Source organism: Homo sapiens, chromosome 12, assembly GCF_000001405.40.
Source record: "Homo sapiens chromosome 12, GRCh38.p14 Primary Assembly".
In the NCBI taxonomy this organism is placed as follows: Eukaryota; Metazoa; Chordata; class Mammalia; order Primates; family Hominidae; genus Homo; species Homo sapiens.
Window position 1 is genome coordinate 50667914 of NC_000012.12, and position 18056 is coordinate 50685969.

The 18056-nt window shown below is 39.2% G+C and overlaps 1 protein-coding gene across 1 annotated transcript in view; it reads left to right on the forward strand.

Annotated features, from left to right (window-relative positions):
* Positions 1-18056, forward strand: part of DIP2B (disco interacting protein 2 homolog B) — a 243673-nt gene that overhangs the window by 162929 nt on the left and 62688 nt on the right. The window contains exons 5-11 of the mRNA NM_173602.3: positions 3273-3485; positions 6561-6716; positions 7416-7535; positions 10766-10963; positions 12759-12850; positions 15225-15335; positions 17920-18043. Of these exons, the coding sequence (NP_775873.2) occupies positions 3273-3485; positions 6561-6716; positions 7416-7535; positions 10766-10963; positions 12759-12850; positions 15225-15335; positions 17920-18043 (1014 nt within the window). The remainder of the gene's footprint in view (positions 1-3272; positions 3486-6560; positions 6717-7415; positions 7536-10765; positions 10964-12758; positions 12851-15224; positions 15336-17919; positions 18044-18056) is intronic.

Here is an 18056-nt window from a genome sequence, read left to right on the forward strand (position 1 = left end):
TCTCCCAGCTATGGTTAGGATAAAGGCAAGTTTCCTTAGCTTGTCTTACAAGGCCCTTGGTGGCCCAATGCTACCTACTTGTCCAGTCTCATCTCCATGACTATCAGTCTTGCATCTGTGCTCTGGCTAGTCTCTGTTTCTTTAATATCTTTAAAAAGTTTTCTGTCCCCTCCAAGCTTTCTCGCGTGCAGCCCCCTCTACCTGACGCTGCACTCTCCCTACCTCTGGGCCTTTCATAACTAATCCCTACTTAGCCATCAGGCCTTGGGTTAGGTCTTACTTCCTTGGGTGCCTGCCTTGAACTCCTCTAACTCATCTCAGTCCCATAAGAATAGGGACTATGTCTTCTTGCCCAACTTTTTATTCCTACCAACTACTGTAGTGCTTAGTGTGTTTGTCAAATGGACGAATAAGTAAACAGTCTTCTCAGATGGGTAATTTTATCCCCAAGTCACATAGCTAGTAAGAGGTGGATCCTAGAGTTTGAATGGAAGACTGACACCAAAGCCATGTTTTTTTCCACTACGCTAAGCTGCCCCATAGTTGTAAGTCATTAAACACTGAAGACTGGCAGACAAACAGGGTAACTGAATTGAAACAATACACCTAATTGCATAATTGATCCAATATAGAAACATAATGAAACCCATTTTCCATAAACCTAATCATGAAAATACTGGTTTTACTGTCTTTTTAAAATTGGGTTATTCTGATTTTAAACTTAAACAAATTAAAATACATATAAATGATACAATAAAATGATACAATAAAAGCAGCCCACAAATCCAATGGAGATTGTGGAATCTTGAGATAACTTACCTTGAAAATACTTTATTCTTAAGGTCAAATTCACCTATCCTAGGGGCCCTATCCCAACTTCCTCTCTGTTTTTTTTAACATGTTTGCTAAGACAGGAATATTTGTGTCCCGGGGTACAGTTGAAATGTTAGAATATTTTCTGAAAATTACACAAAATGCTTTCCTTAAAGGGGTACAGATGTGATTACTTCTTTTTTTCTTTAAATTTTCTTTTAATCACCCCCCTTTTGCATGATAGATCTCATTCTTCTTTATGGACCTCATCACTTTATCTCTTTGGGATCTGGTCACTATTTATCTCTCCACCCTCATTTTTTTCATTTTTTTGCCTTACTCTTCAAAGTCTTTGCTCTATGTACAAAGAAGTACTTGAAATCCCTGACTGTGGTTGGTTCCCATCCTGCGAAACCCTTTGATTACTCCCGTTTCTTAGCATCTGTTTTATTCTTTTGAAATTATCTGTGGGCTTCTGTGTCTCCTGTAAGCCTTTTTAGGGCACTTACTGTGTCATAAGCACTCATACACTTCACAACCCCTAGGACTTGACATAGTTCCTGGCACATGTTGTGATTAGTACTTTTTAAAAAGCAAAAACAGTCACAGGCTTCAGACCTTCCTCAATATGAAATAATAAGTTGGAGGTAGTACAGAACAAGAAGCAAGGGTATAGTCATTATATAACTTTCTGGGTTTTTTGTTTTTGTTTTTGAAATGGAGTCTCACTCTGCCTCCCAGGCTGGAGGGCAGTGATGCTATCTCTGCTCACTGCAACCTCCGCCTCCCGGTCTTAAGTGATTCTTGTCTGCCTCAGCTTCCCGAGTAGCTGGAATTACAGGTGTGCACCACCATGCCTGGCTAATTTTTGTATTTTTAGTAAAGACAGGGTTTCGCGATGTTGGCCAGGCTGGTCTTGAACTCCTGACGTCAAGTGATCCACCTACCTCGGCCTCCCAAAGTACTGGGATTACAGGCCTGAGCCACTGCATCCGGCCCATTATTTTAACTTTCTCTCTTGCTCTGGACCTGCAGAATTTGACTTCTAGATTAGATGAGTCTTTTGTGGTTCAGGTTCCCATTGTGAGGTGCCAGCAGTTTTCCAGCCCCATTGGTTATGTATTTGGCTCTTTGAACCAAAGCAGAACATGAACCTACAGTGTCACCTGAGTTAGACGGAAAGGGTTCTGCAGTACTAACCACAGAATGTTTAATTTTTAAAAACAATGAAATTCAATCCACAAGTTGTAAATCATAACACCCAGAAATCATTTAGAAAGGTTTATCTCACATTAGACCAAATGCCCTCTTTAACTGCGTGCTTCATAAGCTTAGAACCCTGAAATAAATTCCTGACTTCTGTTTTCCCCGGCTTTTGCTTCCCTATATTTGGTTGAGTTTTTTTACCCACCCCCCACCCAGCACGCTTTTCTAATTTAGGCCTATTTTCCTGAAGTCAGAGCCAAGCTGAATACAGACATAAGTGGATTTCTCACAATTCTTCTCCAGCTGAAAATTAAAGAAAGAAATACTGATGCTGTGCCTTCTCCTGTCATGCTTGGAAAGCTTACCTGTGCACCCTGACTGGCTGCCTTTCCTACTAAGGCCATGAATAAGTCCAGGCTAAGGATTGTTTACGCCACTTCATTCCCTAGCACCTAGCTCACTGTTTGGCACGTATGTTTTTTGTTTTTTGTTTTTGTTTTTGAGTTGGAGTCTCGCTCTGTTGCCCAGGCTAGAGTGCAGTGGTGCGATCGTGGCTCACCGAAACCTCTGCCTCCGAGGTTCAAACGATTCTCCTGCTTCAGCCTCCCAAGTAGCTGGGATTACAGGCATGCACCACCATGCCTGTCTAATTTTTTGTATTTTTAGTAGAGATGGGGTTTCACCGTGTTGGCCAGGCTGGTCTTGAACTCCTGACCTCAGGTGATCTGCCTGCCTCAGCCTCCCAAAGTGTTGGGATTACAGGTATGAGCCACCACGCCCGGCCTGGCACATACGTTTTTAGCAAGAATTAAGTTTTTATGTCTCCCTGTCAAGATCATTTCCTTAGAGACTAATAAGTACTTTGTCAAAATCAATGTAGCAACATACCACAAGAAGAGATTCAGGAAGACATATAAGTACTTCAGTATTATTTGAACATAAGTAGATGGACTAGAAAAATTTAGATACTGATTAAGCTTACAACAGAAAAGCAGGGAATAAAGTTTAAATGTTTTGAAAGAGTTTAAAAGAAAACAATTAAAAATTACCTATGGAGTTAGGCTATTTTATTTTTGTAGGCTTTGGTCCATAGACTTTTCCTTGAGATTCTTGAGAAACTTTACATATTAATCTACCTTAAGAATGCGAATGTTTTGCTGGTGTCGAAACTGAATGTGTGATCAATGAGCAAGAACTGAAAAGTCTCTGTTCTAGGTAGGATCGAGAACTTCTTTTTTTCTAATTCCACACAGACACATCTTCGGCCTCTGAGGATGAGGGCTCTCTGAGACGCCAAGCTGCGCTCTCTGCTGCCTTGCAACAGAGCTTACAGAATGCTGAGTCCTGGATCAACCGTTCAATTCAGGGATCGTCCACTTCTTCATCCGCATCTTCTACGCTGTCCCACGGAGAGGTCAAAGGAACCAGTGGGTCTCTAGCTGATGTATTTGCCAATACTCGAATAGGTAGGAGCTGGATCTACCCAAGAAGCCCAAATTACATTCCATTTGGCTCCCAGTATCCAGGAAATAGTTTATGGTTTGTGTTAGGTTTTTCAGTATGGCCTAAAAAAAAGAATTAGAGAAAACATGACAGTTAATGAGGAAAAGATGGAAACACCAGCAATACATTTGTCACAGGAATAATAGATAACACCTGCATTATTGGTGCGTAGTTTTGCCCACCTGAAGCCATAGCTATTTCCATAAGCAATGCTCAAGCTGCAAGATATAACACCAGTCTCAGTGTGGAGTTATCCCAGCTGAAGAATATTCGATCTATTAAAAGGTTAAAATATGTAACATCTTAGATTTTTCCCAGGATTGTTACCTATATTCTGTTAAACCAAAAACACTAAACCTGAGCAAAATCTATACTGAGCCAATATCAGTGAGGACTTTTGTCTTGACTGGATTTGTTGTCCTTGCTGCTGTGATATTGCTACACTGGAGTGTGCAGGCCGAGGATATTGGTACTCTGAGCTGCTATCGATACACTGCAGATGCTACTATACAGAGTGTAGCTTTTGCTTGCCCCTGCTTTATGTTTTGTGTGTGTGTTTTTTTAAAGAGTTGTGACATCTGCAGATAAAGATACAGCTCAGATCTCTGCTTTTGCTTAATTGGTTGTTACAAATTACACCAAGTAATGTGTGTTAACATTATGTGTCTGTGATATCTTTCCCTTTTTTTTCTTGACAATCAGTGCATTTTGGTGTCTTAATTTTCATCTCAGTGACCTGTCTATATCACCTAATATATCTTTATTCTGTTAACTGATTTCTAAAAAAAGAAAAACTTGGAAAAATTTCAATTCAAGACTATAATTTTTAAAGAAATAGCTACCTTGAGGGTATGATTGCCCTCCTTAGAGACCCATGTGCCAACAGCTGATGACTTGTCTTGCACGCTTAGCTCTGCCCTGCCCTGCCATTTCCTGAGCCTCCTGAAGCAGCTACAAAGATTTGCGTATTCACCACCTCTCCAGTCGTGGAGCAACAGAGCCATGGTTGCTGAGGTTTTATTTCCACATCTGTCTAAAAGAGACCAGTATTACTTGTTAAATATATTATCCTAATACCCAGTTAACTTTTACCTGGATTTTTGTTAACAAGATGTCTCATCCAACCGTATATTTTTCATTGCTTCTACTACTCTGTGAAAAGTTACTGGTTCAGTTACTCACAGAAACCATTTTATCCACATTATTGCTTTTTGGATGTTTGTTGTAACAGGAGTAATTCATGATCCTAATAGAAAAATTCAAAAATATAGGTAAAAGAAAAGTAAAATAACCTATAATCCTACCTCCCATGGGTAATACTTTAGTATTATTACTGTAGTGTATATTCTTCTAGATTTTACTTACATATGTAAGGTTTTGGTTTTGATTTTACAAAAATGAACTGTCCTAAACATAATGTTAATAACCTGCTTTTCTTAGCAGTATGTGATGAACATCTTTTACATCATTATGTTACACTATTATTTTTATGGTTTCAATATACACTATTGTGTGACTCTCTGCCCTGGTTTATTTGGCCATTCCCCTATTAAATAGTGTCCAATTTTTTGCTATTATAAAAACTATTGGATTGAACATGCTTGAACACACAACTTTGTACATTTGTCTGATTATTTCCTTAGCGTATATTCCTATAAGTTTGAATTGCTGGACCAAATAAAAATGTCTGTTTTAATGCTTTTTGTTACCACATTATCCTACAGAAAGGTATACCGGAATATACTCATGTTAGTATATTTAAAATTTTAAAAACTATTCAACTAATAATTACAGACTTAAGGGGCATAGAGACCTTACCCCCAAATCTATTTTAGAAATTGTTTGTATTATGCTTTTTTCCTTTTTTAAGTTTTACAAAAAACTTAGAAGAAAACATCTGGAGAAGTAAGAAGAAGGAAATTAGAGGGAGGAAAATGTATGATTTACAAGAATCACAGAAAGCCACTAAAAAACTATGTGGTGTTTTTTGTTGTTGTCGTTACGTGTCCCTGTTGAACAGGGATCTTTTCCAGTTTACTCATTCAGTTTCTCCATGTTAAGAATCTTGAGACCTGGTGTGGTGGCACACGCCTGTAATCCCAGCACTTTGGGAGGCATTGGTGGGAGGATTGCTTGAGCCCAGGAGTTCGAGACCAGCCTGGGCAGCATGGCAAGACTCCATCTCTACTAAAAATACAAATATTAGCCTGATGTAGTGGTGTGCACCTGTGGTCCCCATACTTGGGAGGCTGAGGTGGGAGGCTTACTTGAGCCCAGGAGGTTGAGGCTGTAGTGAGCTGTGATTGCACCACTGCATTCCTGGCTGGGCAACAGCACAAGACCCTGTCTGAAAAATAAAAAGAATCCCTATGTGCGGTAGAGTAGAATAACACTATTTAGTCTCTACCTGGAGCAAAGGAAGAACCTTGTCTGTCAAGGAGATCCAAATTACCTATGGATTATTGTATGATCCAAATTACCTATGGATTATTGTATAATCCGTAGGTAAAAGTTAAAAGTGGACTTTATCTAGTGTTTTTTCATCTGGAAACTTGTGCAGCCTGACCCACTTTCAAGATACGAGTTTGGTCTTTGGTAGAAGGGGAAACATTCTAGATAAACTATAACAATCAAGAAATGTTCGAGAGACTGCAATATTAGTAGCCAGTTATGATCTTATTTGGTTCCATTTTGAGGTCACTGCAAGTTTTATTATGATTATTTTATAACACTGGATTTCTACCAGCCTTTCTGTGTAGAAAATGATGTTTTGAGAAACATTGAATGTGAGATTTGATCTTACTAAGGCTACTCAAGTCTTACAAAATAATAATTTTGGAAAGCTGATATACCCTGGCTTAACTTACTGTTCTCCCATTGTGTCTTGCTAATAGATTCTGATTTTTAAATGTTGTTTTACAAGAGCCAGTGCCCCCATTTATGTACTTTTCTTCCTTGTTAAAAAACAAAACCCCAAAGATTTGAAGGTTCTTAGTTTTGCTGCTAATATAATTCTAAACTTTGTTTTCTCCTCTCAGAGAATTTCTCTGCTCCTCCTGATGTCACTACAACTACCTCTTCCTCCTCATCATCTTCCTCAATTCGCCCAGCAAACATTGACCTGCCCCCCTCGGGGATAGTTAAAGGCATGCACAAAGGATCCAACAGGTCCAGCCTTATGGATACAGCTGATGGTAAGGAGTTGTTTTTGGTAGCTCAATTGTAGTGTAAACTAAACTAGAAAAATTCAAATTATGAATGATAGCTCCTAACTAGCCCAGCAGCTGCAGAACTGCATTGTAGTTGGCCCACTAATAACTAATCCTGGGTACCTTTTTTCCATCATCTGCACAGTGACAGTATTGCCACTTAATTGAACTTAGTGGATACTTCCAGATGATACTTTGAACAAAAACCTAAATGTGGAAAAAGAAAAGAATAACAGAGGGCCGGGCACGGTGGCTCACGCCTGTAATCCCAGCACTTTGGGAGGCCGCGGTGGGCAGATCATGAGGTCAGGAGATCGAGACCATCCTGGCTAACACAGTGAAACCCCATCTCTACTAAAAATACAAAAAATTAGGCGGAGCTTGCAGTGAGCCAAGATGGCGCCACTGCACTCCAGCCTGGGGTGACAGAGCGAGACTCCATCTCAAAAAAAGAATAACTGAAAAGGAAGATTAGGTGAAATCCTTAAGCTATGTATTAATAATAGCACCATATTTGTTCTCTATTGTCATAAAACTTGTTGTGTACATATTTGGTCCACTTGAAAGAGAAGGAAACTGGACAAACGCCAAACATCCTTAGAAATAAAAGCTCCTGAGGGAACTGAGGAACTAAAATATCCTTACAGTCAATGAATTTTAACTTAACCATTTTTTCCCTTATAGGTGTTCCTGTCAGTAGCAGAGTATCTACAAAAATCCAGCAGCTTCTGAACACTCTGAAACGACCCAAAAGGCCTCCCTTAAAGGAATTTTTTGTGGATGACTCTGAAGAAATTGTGGAAGGTAGTAGTAAAAATACCAAAAACATATATTCATTAAATAAATATATCTTAAGCAGTTACTATGTGTTAGGTACTGTAGGGTTAAAGAATGAACAAGACACAGTTCTTGGTTCAAAGAGTTCATCATTTTCTGCTCTTTTTTCCCTAATGATTATCTGTATTTTAGATCTTAGATGAAAATTAAGGAGGGAAGGAAGAAGAGGGAAGAAAGGCAAAGAGATCACCATGGAGCATAGAACTGTCTTTGGAAATAAACTCTTTGAAATTAGGAACTATCCCAAATACATGATTTTACGAGTTATTTATATTTGGCATTTTCTCGGATGTGGATATCAAATTCAGCCTCAAAAGTTTGCCTACTCTGTTTTCATATAATGTAATCCTTTTATGAATCAACCAATCAATACATATTTCTGCTTTCTACAAGGCAGCGTGTTAGATGGTGAAAAGGTTCAAAGATTTATAAAAATACAGTTATTTCCTTCATGTTGTTTACAATTTAGACGGGTGCTAAAATATATCCATGTGAATACTTAGTTTAAGTATTAAGTATCTATCAGCCAATATAGGCACTTCTGAGAAGGGAAGAAATCAGTTCCTTCTGGGTTAGGAAAGGCTTCACAGAGGAAGTGTAACAGTGATTTATTCATTCAATAATTTTTAAATTATGGATAAAACCATATATCTAGGATTTAATAGGGAAGGGGAATGAGTGTGAGTATGGATAAAATGAGAATGGCCATTTGATAATTATAGAGTGATGACGATAGATCTAGACAAATAGATCTACCTAAGAAAAGCTTTTGTTGAAAGAGCTAAGCGTTGGTAGCTTTGTAGTCTGTTTTTATGTCCTGAGACTAATAGTAATAGGTTTTGATCACATCAGCTTGTTAATAGAATTAGGTACATTGGTAGACTAGATCTGGTCTTAGCCCAATTTATACCGCAGAAAGCAACCTGACATATGAGGTTAAGATGAGTATCTGTTTTTTTAGGAATCACTAAACTCATTGAATGGTGGACGTCTTTCATGATGTACTGATGTTCAAGATGTCCACGCCAGCAATAGCCTTTCCAGTGTTTTTAGCATTGGGTATTGACCAGGCACATGAAGGTCACGGTTTTTAACAGGAATCTTACCTGAAAAAATTGCATTGGCAGAATAGAACTAACAACTTTCCATTAATTACTAATATAAATAGGCAATAGTTGCTTGTTTGAGTAATTGTCACCTTTGGAAAAGAAAAATACCAGTAGGTCTTTGGAAATCTGAAAGAGCATGCCCCAGAATCTGCATTGAAGCCTAATGGATAATGGCGATAATGTCAGCTTTCATGGCAGGAAACAATGCCTACTATATACATAGTCTGTCCAAACAAATACAATACTTATTTAGAAACACCCATGTTTATTTTTTTTAGTTAATCTGGTGGTTTAGCGTCTGGGAATGTACAAAGCAGAAGGGCAGTTGAAACATTTATTATTTACCCTAAGGCAGCAAATTGGGGAGTGAAACTATTTCATGAATGTTACGTTAGTAGAAAAATGAATCAAGGCATTTTAAGTACAATCCCCAGATTTGTCATTGAGCTATAAAACATTTATTTCATATTTCATTTGCCCATCTAAGATTTGTTGCTCATTCTGTCCCTTCTCCCTTCCGTGCCTCTTTTCTCATCTCTTGTTCACCTGGCTAATTCCTGATCATCCTTTAAGACTCAGCTCAGACATTTCCTCCTCCAGGTGGAGACGTGCCCCACTTCTCACGCACTGCTCATGTTGTCCTAGCCTTAGCGCTGAGTCTGTGTGTGTTTATGTCCCCTGGTGCACTCTATCTAGAGTGATTTGTTCCACGTGTAAATTATCTTTCCTGCTATGAAAATGTAGCATTTGGCCGGGCGCGGTGGCTCACACCTGTAATCCCAGCACTCTGGGAGGCTGAGGCGAGTGGGAATTCAGGAGTTCAAGACCAGCCTGGCCAATATAGTGAAACCCCGTCTCTACTAAAAATACAAAAATTAGCCAGGCGTGGTGGCGGGCGCCTATAATCCCAGCTACTCAGGAGGCTGAGGCAGGAGAATCTTTTGAACCTGGGAGGCGGAGGTTGCAGTGAGCCGAGATCGCTCCACTGCACTCCAGCCTGGGCAACAGAGCAAGACTCTGTCGTGGGGGTAGGGAAGGAAATGTAGGATTCTTTTTTTGATTTTTATTATTTGAATAATACTTGTTCATTTTAGAAATTAAGAGGACTTTTGTTTTATCTGTGAAAGGGTATGAAATATTCACCCCCAATCTCTGGAATAAGCATGTTAATAATTAGTTCCCCACTAAACACACAACCAAATTCAGTCCAGTTCAGCTGACATTGTTGAACAACCGTGAAGTATTAGGCACTACAGCCAGTAAGGGGAGTAAGAGCCACCCCTTTCCTCAAGAAGCCATCAGCCTTTGTGGGGGAAAACTTGTACAGTAAAAGAAGTCCTTAGGATGCTCAGTGCTTTCCTAAGGGCAACGTGGGAGCACTAAGGAAGCAGTAGTCTCCTCAGGGAGTGGTTGGGAATGGTTCCCAGAGAATGTGCTGTTTCAGCCAAGTCCTGAAAAGGATGAGGAAGAGTTCACCAGGAGGCAAAGGGATTGGCCATACGAGATGAGTGCAGAGGTCTGGAGACATGGGATATTGTGGTTTATGCCCATTGTCTGTTTGAGTGAAGTAATGACCCTGAGGTATAACTGTTACTATCCCCGTTTTACAGATGAGGAAAGCCAAGCTCAGGTAAATCAATTGGCCTAAGGTAATACTAGTAAAAAGTCAATGTAAACTTGGGCTTTCTGACTCACAGTATAATGCTTTCTCATTAAACATAATCTGCTGTAGTAGAACCTGGCTGTCTCACACTGGACACAGACTGTACAGATTTAAAAACAAATTTGCTAAAAATTGTGAAATTGCTACAAAAAATGTATATTTTGTGCTATTCTATATATGCAGTGATTTGCTTTGTCAGGGTCAGGATTTGTTCATTGCATAAAACGAATATGATTTCACATTTAAGTGGAAAATTGAATTAAGGCCCAGTTTGTGGACCACCATTTCTAACCATGTCCTTTCTCAAAGTGAGTTTAAACCAGGTAAATATGAAGTGAAAAGGAAGATGCAGTTGAGATTAGAGACCTAAGTTGTGTTCATTGGTATTTGTACTCATTTCACTCATTGGGATTTTCCTGGTACAGTACCTCAGCCAGACCCCAACCAGCCCAAGCCGGAGGGACGGCAGATGACCCCTGTGAAAGGAGAGCCTTTAGGAGTCATCTGTAACTGGCCTCCTGCTCTTGAATCTGCCCTGCAGCGCTGGGGTACCACTCAAGCAAAATGCTCCTGTCTGACTGCACTGGACATGACAGGGAAACCAGTTTACACTCTTACATATGGTGAGTCTGCAAGATTCCAGATCCTTCTCTCCTGAGAGTTCTTCAGAATATCATGGGTAGTGTTTTTATCTAGATACTTAGCAGTTGCTGGCCATTATGTTTCAGTAGATTTTTTCAATAATTTAAAAGGATCCTAAGCTCTAAGTAAAGCTATTGCCAAATATTTTCATTTGCTAAAGCAACATTTGCAAGCCAGCTAATATTTAAAAGACAGCAAAAAGAAGAGAGACTTTGTACATCCATAGATGTTTTAACATTACAAGAGGATTTTAGAAAAACATTTGGTATTGATGTATGGTGAAAATCAGATGGTTTTATCTAACAGTTGAAACTGATTACTTGTTAAATCTTTATTCCATCCTGCTTCTTGATTATAATAGGCACAAAATTCTGTAATGAACAAAGAATGAGTACTTTTCCGTTTAATTTTGCATACTAGCTAAAATTTTTCTTTTTAAAATAACTTCAAGGAAAAATGGGGTCAACCCTGGGCTATGAGATTTTGTACTAGTTTATTCAAACAGATTCCTTTTCTCCTTTGCAAGTGGAGCACAGTGTCCATAGACCTAGATGGAAAATAATCTTTGAGGAAAAACAAGGTTTTATTTAAAGAATTACGCAGGTTGACATAGTTTAAACTTTGGATGCCCCTCTGAATAAATTGTATGTAAAATAACGTAGCTATTTAAAATAACATGATTTCCCTTATCTCATAATCTAAAATAAGAATTTCTAAGAGTGGTTGAGGGAAGGGAGTAGGAAAAGAAAAGCATTTTTTGTTTGTTTTTGTCAAAATTGTTTTAACATTCACCTCAGAAGCTGTATATACATTTCATTCATATAACCCTTAAAGAAAGCATTTAGCTGGCCAAATCTTTGCATGTTTATTTAACATCTATGAATACATCCATATGTTCATACAGATAATTTCCATTTTAATGTTTGTTTTTACTAAATTACAGCAGTATGGAATGTTTAATCATTTGAGTCATGTTTTTGCTTTGCAGTTTCCTCAAGTGTCTGATACCACCTATGTAAGTGGTTTTTCAGAAAAAGCTTACAACATTTCTGAAGATATTTGTAAATTTTTTAAAAAACTGGCCGGGCACAGTTGGCTCATGCCTGTAATCCCAACACTTTGGGAGGCTGAGACAGGTGGATCACCTGAGGCCAGGAATTTGAGACCAGCCCAGACAACATGGCGAAACCTCATCTCTATTAAAAATACAAAAATTAGCCGGATGTGGTGACACACACCTGTAGTCCCAGCTACTTGAGAGGCTGAGGCAAGAATTACTCAAACAGGGAGACAGACAGAGGTTGCAGTGAGCCGAGATTGCACCACTGCACTCCAGCCTGGGCGACAGAGTGAGACTCTGTCTTAAAAAAAAAAAAAAAAAAAAAAACTTAGAACAGAAGTATTCTTCTGATTTTCAGTCTTGTAATTAAAAATATTGTTTTCCTCCCTTTCAGTATGATCAGTTTGCATCAAATTATTTCTAAGGATATGCAGATTCTTTCAGAAAAGAATTTGAAATATTATGTAAACCAGGATGAGCATCTGGTGATGTTTTATTTCTGTTTCAAGGCATGACTGGCTTTTGTAAACTAGAATGAATAGAAAGCTTTTGTGGGGAGGCCTACTGTGTGTTGGGGGTGAATGACACTCATCTAACCCATCATTTGGAAGTGGCCATTGTCTCATTAACTACACTGATGATCTGAATGTTCTTTCATTGAGGTAGACCTGTTTTTTTTTCTATATGACTGTTGTTTTTTTTTCCTTTTTTTCCAGGAAAGTTGTGGAGCAGAAGTTTAAAGTTGGCCTACACACTTCTTAATAAACTGGGGACCAAAAATGAACCTGTGTTAAAACCTGGAGACAGGGTAATTGGTGTGATTTTGGTTTTAGGGAGGTGGTGTTTATTGTTTTCTAATATGCTAATATTCTAATATTCTGGAGTTTTCATATACAACAGGAAAATTTATGTAACTCTTATTTTTGGAAAAATAAAAATGGTTTGGTTCCAACGCAGGTTAGCCCAATGCCAGATGACAATTCTCACATTCCTGGGTTGAAGGAAATTCGCATGTCCTTTCCTGTAGCTGCCAATCAGTAATCTCTTTAGGTGCTAATAAAAAGAAAGAGAAACCTTAGTCTTTCCAGAAATAAATATTTGAATCTTTAGACAATAAGAAAACAGCAACAAAACTTACTCTCTGATTTTTTTATTTTATTTTTTCCTCCTCTTCACAAAATGCCTCAAACATGGGCTGGGTGCAGTGGTTCACACCTGTAATCCCAGCACTTTGGGACACTGAGGCGGGAGGATCACTTGAAGCCAGGAGTTTTAGACCAGCCTGGGCAACATAGTGAGACCCCATCTCTACAAACAATTTTTTTTTTTAATTAGCTGGGTGTGGTGGCATGCACCTGTAGTCCCAGCTACTCGGGAGGTTAAGGCGGGAGGATTGCTTGAGCCCAGGAGTTCAAGGCAGCAGTGAGCCATGATCTTGCCACTGCATTTGTGTGGGCAACAGAGTGAGACCCTAACAACAACAACAACAAAAAAAAAGCCTCATACATCTTTTAAAACATTTTTCTGTGGTCTTATGTAAAAAGAGAGGAAGATTCATGTTACTTTTAAGAAAAAACCGATTGACAGAGTTTTATTTCTCCTTTAATTTGAGGGGACATTATACTATTTTTTTAATTTTTGAAGATATTTTTCCTATTAATGACTTTCTAAATATGATTACTTTTTACCATTACTTTTCATTTGGAATTCATAGAATGAAACACCAACTACACAATAGACTTATTTTGATTGGGCTTATGATTATGGAATCTCTTAAACTAGACCTGTTAAAAATACTTTTGCATTGTGACAAAGGGCACATAAAGGATGGCTTTTACTTATAAATGTGACACATGAGTGTTTCCTAGTCCTCCTGAACCCTAAGCAGGTGATTTTGTGTCTCCCTAGCAAGATGGACACTGTGCAGGAAGGAAATGGGTTGTTTAAATGTCTTGTGGAATTAATTTTCCAGAACCCTAGGAAAATTCAGAAGTTCAAAAGTGAACTTCTCTTGGGAGTGAGTTAACAGAATTTGAAAGCAAAAGAAGGGGAAACAAGTCTCATGACGTAATTAAGTTTCAAATATTAATCTGTGAGTATCCAAACCAAGTAAGAAACTCCGCAGTGGTAGTGACTTTTACGTTTTTGCATTCCTTGAGTGAATTAGGAAAAGTCACTTATCTCTGTGATGTGTTACAGGTGAGATCACAGGTTTGAACTTACTATAGAGGTTTCACGGTTTATGTTCTATTAATGAATTAACTGTATATCCATACGGTTTCCACCAGTATTGTTTACACCTATTACCAGATGCCCTCCTGCTAGAACATTTGCATTGTTGGGTAAGGGAACAAGGATTAAAACAATGAATTAAAGAGTAAGAAAACTGGCCGGGTGGGGTGGCTCACGCCTGCAATCCCAGCACTTTGGGAGGCCAAGGCAGGCAGATCACGAGGTCAGGAGATCGATCGAGACCATCCTGGCTAACACGGTGAAACCCCATCTCTACTAAAAATATTAAAAATTAGCCAGGCGTGGTGGCAGGCACCTGTAGTCCCAGCTACTCGGGAGGCTGAGGCAGGAGAATGGCGTGAACCCAGGAGGCGGAGCTTGCAGTGAGCTGAGATCGCACCACTGCATTCCAGCCTGGGCGACAGAGCGAGACTCTGTCTCAAAAAAAAAAAAAAAAAAAAAAAAAGAGTAGGAAAACTTATATTGGCCCTAACATGGTGATCAAGTCAGTCTACAGTTGTAGGCTCTCTCTGAGAGATGTAAGGCTTATTCTTTAATATGCTGTTCTATCTGGAGAGATCCATTACATTTATTTTATTGCCTTAGCCCTACACTAAAGTAAATTGCCTTGGGTTTCCTAAGTAATTAACTTAATGCTTAAGATGGTTTGTTTGTTGCTAAATCACCAAAAGGATTAAGTGAAAAATTGTGATGAGGACGAGGATGAATGCGTTATAGTTCCCAAAATGTGTAGTATAATCGTGGGCATGTCGGAGATCTTTTTAGATGTGTGTCTCTATCTCAGTAACTTAATTTCCTTTAGAGCAGATGGCTGTTAAATAGTTTGATTTATTGTGTTCATGATAAATATTACATACTTAGACAGTGACATTGAAAGCATTAGTATGTTTTTATTCCTCTGTTAAACTGAATATCATTATGAATTTTAGGTAGCCCTGGTTTACCCCAACAATGATCCAGTCATGTTTATGGTGGCTTTCTATGGATGCCTCCTGGCAGAAGTGATTCCAGTGCCTATAGAGGTACCTCTTACCAGAAAGGTAACATTGCTAAATTTAAGAGGAATGTAGCCTGATGTGACATGGCAGGCATTGGGTTCTTGGATAGATGTAGTCACAACAGTAAAAACTGTTCGACCATTTTTGGAAGTACTCAGCTTCACTTTCTAAAAACAGGAAATTTGTAGAAAAATTATTTATTAAATATTCACAAGTTTTATGCAAATAACATATTTTGTATTAAGATAGAGTTTGTATAGTATTGCATATCATTTAAAATATCACTGGGGCGAGGCCGGGCGCAGTGGCTCACGCCTGTAATCACAGCACTTTGGGAAGCTGAGGCGGGGGGATCACAAGGTCAGGAGATCGAGACCATCCTGGCTAACATGGTGAAACCCCGTCTCTACTAAAAAATACAAAAAAATTAGTTGGGCGTGGTGGCGGGCGCCTGTGGTCCCAGCTACTCGGGAGGCTGAGGCAGGAGAATGGCGTGAACCCTAGAGGTGGAGCTTGCAGTTAGTTGAGATCGCGCTATTGCACTCCAGCTTGGGCGACAGAGCAAGACTCCGTCTAAAAATAAATAGATAAATAAATAAAAAATAAATAAATATCACTGGGGCAACTGGACATGGTGGCTCACGCCTGTAATCCTAGCACTTTGGGAGATTGAGGTGGGCGGGTTGCGTGAGCCCAGAAGGTTGAGAGCAGCCTAGGCAACATAGGGAGACCCCATCTCTATAAATAGTAAAAAAAACTAGCCATGCGTGGTGGTGTGCACCTGTAGTCCCAGCTATTTGAGAAGCTGAGGTGGAAGGATTGATTGAACCCAGGAGATTGAGGCTGCAGTGACCTGTGATTGCGCCACTGCACTCCAGCCTGGGCAATAGGGCAAGCAAGACTCTGTTTCAGAATATAAAATAAAATATCATGGGGGCATACTTGACTTTCAACACTGATCATTTATAAAGAATCCCACTCTTGCTTCAGAGACTATAGATAATCCACATTTATAGTAGTTGAGACCTTTTTTAAAGGGATTTCCTCTAACTGTATCATATGACCTAGGATTTCCATTAGGTGGAAAGTGATGGTGTGATGACATGTTACTTCTCTGGATTATAAGATTTTACTTTGACAATACATCAGCCCAACTAAAATGAAGCATATGTAACAGATTTCCATGTTTGACTGAGTGATTTCTCCATGAGCCACTTGATGCTAATTTTGTCATGCAGTTTATTTCTGAGGGCTGATGTCAAAGATGAATATGTTGGAGGATGTGGATTTATAAGAAGAAATTGGCCAGGCACAATGGCTCACACCTGTAATCCCAGCACTTTGGGAGGCCGAGGTGGGTGGATCACCTGAGGTCAGGAGTTTGAGACCAGCCTGGCCAACATGGTGGAACCCCATCTCTACTAAAAATACAGAAATTAGCCAGGTGTGATGGCACAAGCCTGTGATCCCAGCTACTCAGGAGGCTGAGGCAGGAGAATCGCTTGAACCCGGGAGGTGGAGTTTGCAGTGAGTCAAGATTGCGCCACTGTATACCAGCCTGACAAAGTGAGATCTTGTCTCAAAAAAATAAAAGAAGAAATCAGCCGGGCCGCAGTGGCTTATGCCTGTAATCCTAGCACTTTGGGAGGCTGAGGCGGGTGGATCACTTGAGGTCAGGAGTTCAAAACCAGCCTGGCCAACATGACGAAACCCTGTCTCTACTAAAAATACAAAAATTAGCCAGGCATGGTGGTGCGCTCCTGTAGTCCCAGCTACTTGGGAGATTGAAACAGAAGAATAGCCTGAACCCAGGAGGTGGAAGTTGTAGTGAGCCGAGATCATGCCACTGCACTCCAGGTTGGGTGACAGAGAGAGGCTCCATCTCATAAAAAAAGAAAAGAAAAAGCATTTCTGAAAGGAATAAAAAACAAATTGATAACATCCCCTAATCTCTAGTTGTTGGGATGTAGTATCCTTCATTTGATCAGGAAATCATATGATTGTTCTTAAATTATTAAGTTGGCAGAATTTGTGTGGTTTCATAATGATGCTTGTAAGATGATATTTTAATGGAAATGTTTTAGACTATATCTTTTGTTGTTTTTGCTGCTGTTTTTGTGTAAGGCTTAAATCTACCCCCTTTAAAAACAGAAAAATAAAAGGATTATACAGATTTGGTATATCCATCCATTGACTTTCATTGTCAGCTTGGACATTTAGTATCCATTTACATTATTTATTTTGTTCATACCTGACTTGCTTTTCTCTCGAATTTTGGAGTGAGGCTAGGGGAAGATAACCATGTTAGCATTTATTTAATTTGCTGGAAACTAATCTAAAATAGGATCATTGCTGACTCTTGAATAAAATGGTTACATTTGTCTGGTAGGATTTATCATTTGTAATGTCTGGTTAATAAAATACTTGATTTGTGCTCAGGAAATGTTTGTATTGTGGAAATTATTTGGAAGAACACATTGTGATTGGATTTTGACAATTGCCAGATATTGGTGGGGCTCCATGAATGTTATCAAACAAAATGCCAGAGCATTACTAAGTGTCAGATATGGGCATGAGTGTGCTCACATTCGCTCCCCTACCTATGTTCATTATCATTTCTCCACAGGATGCTGGAGGTCAGCAGATTGGCTTCTTGCTAGGAAGCTGTGGTATTGCCTTAGCTCTTACCAGTGAAGTTTGTCTAAAAGGACTGCCAAAAACCCAGAATGGAGAAATTGTACAGTTTAAAGGTTAGTAACATTG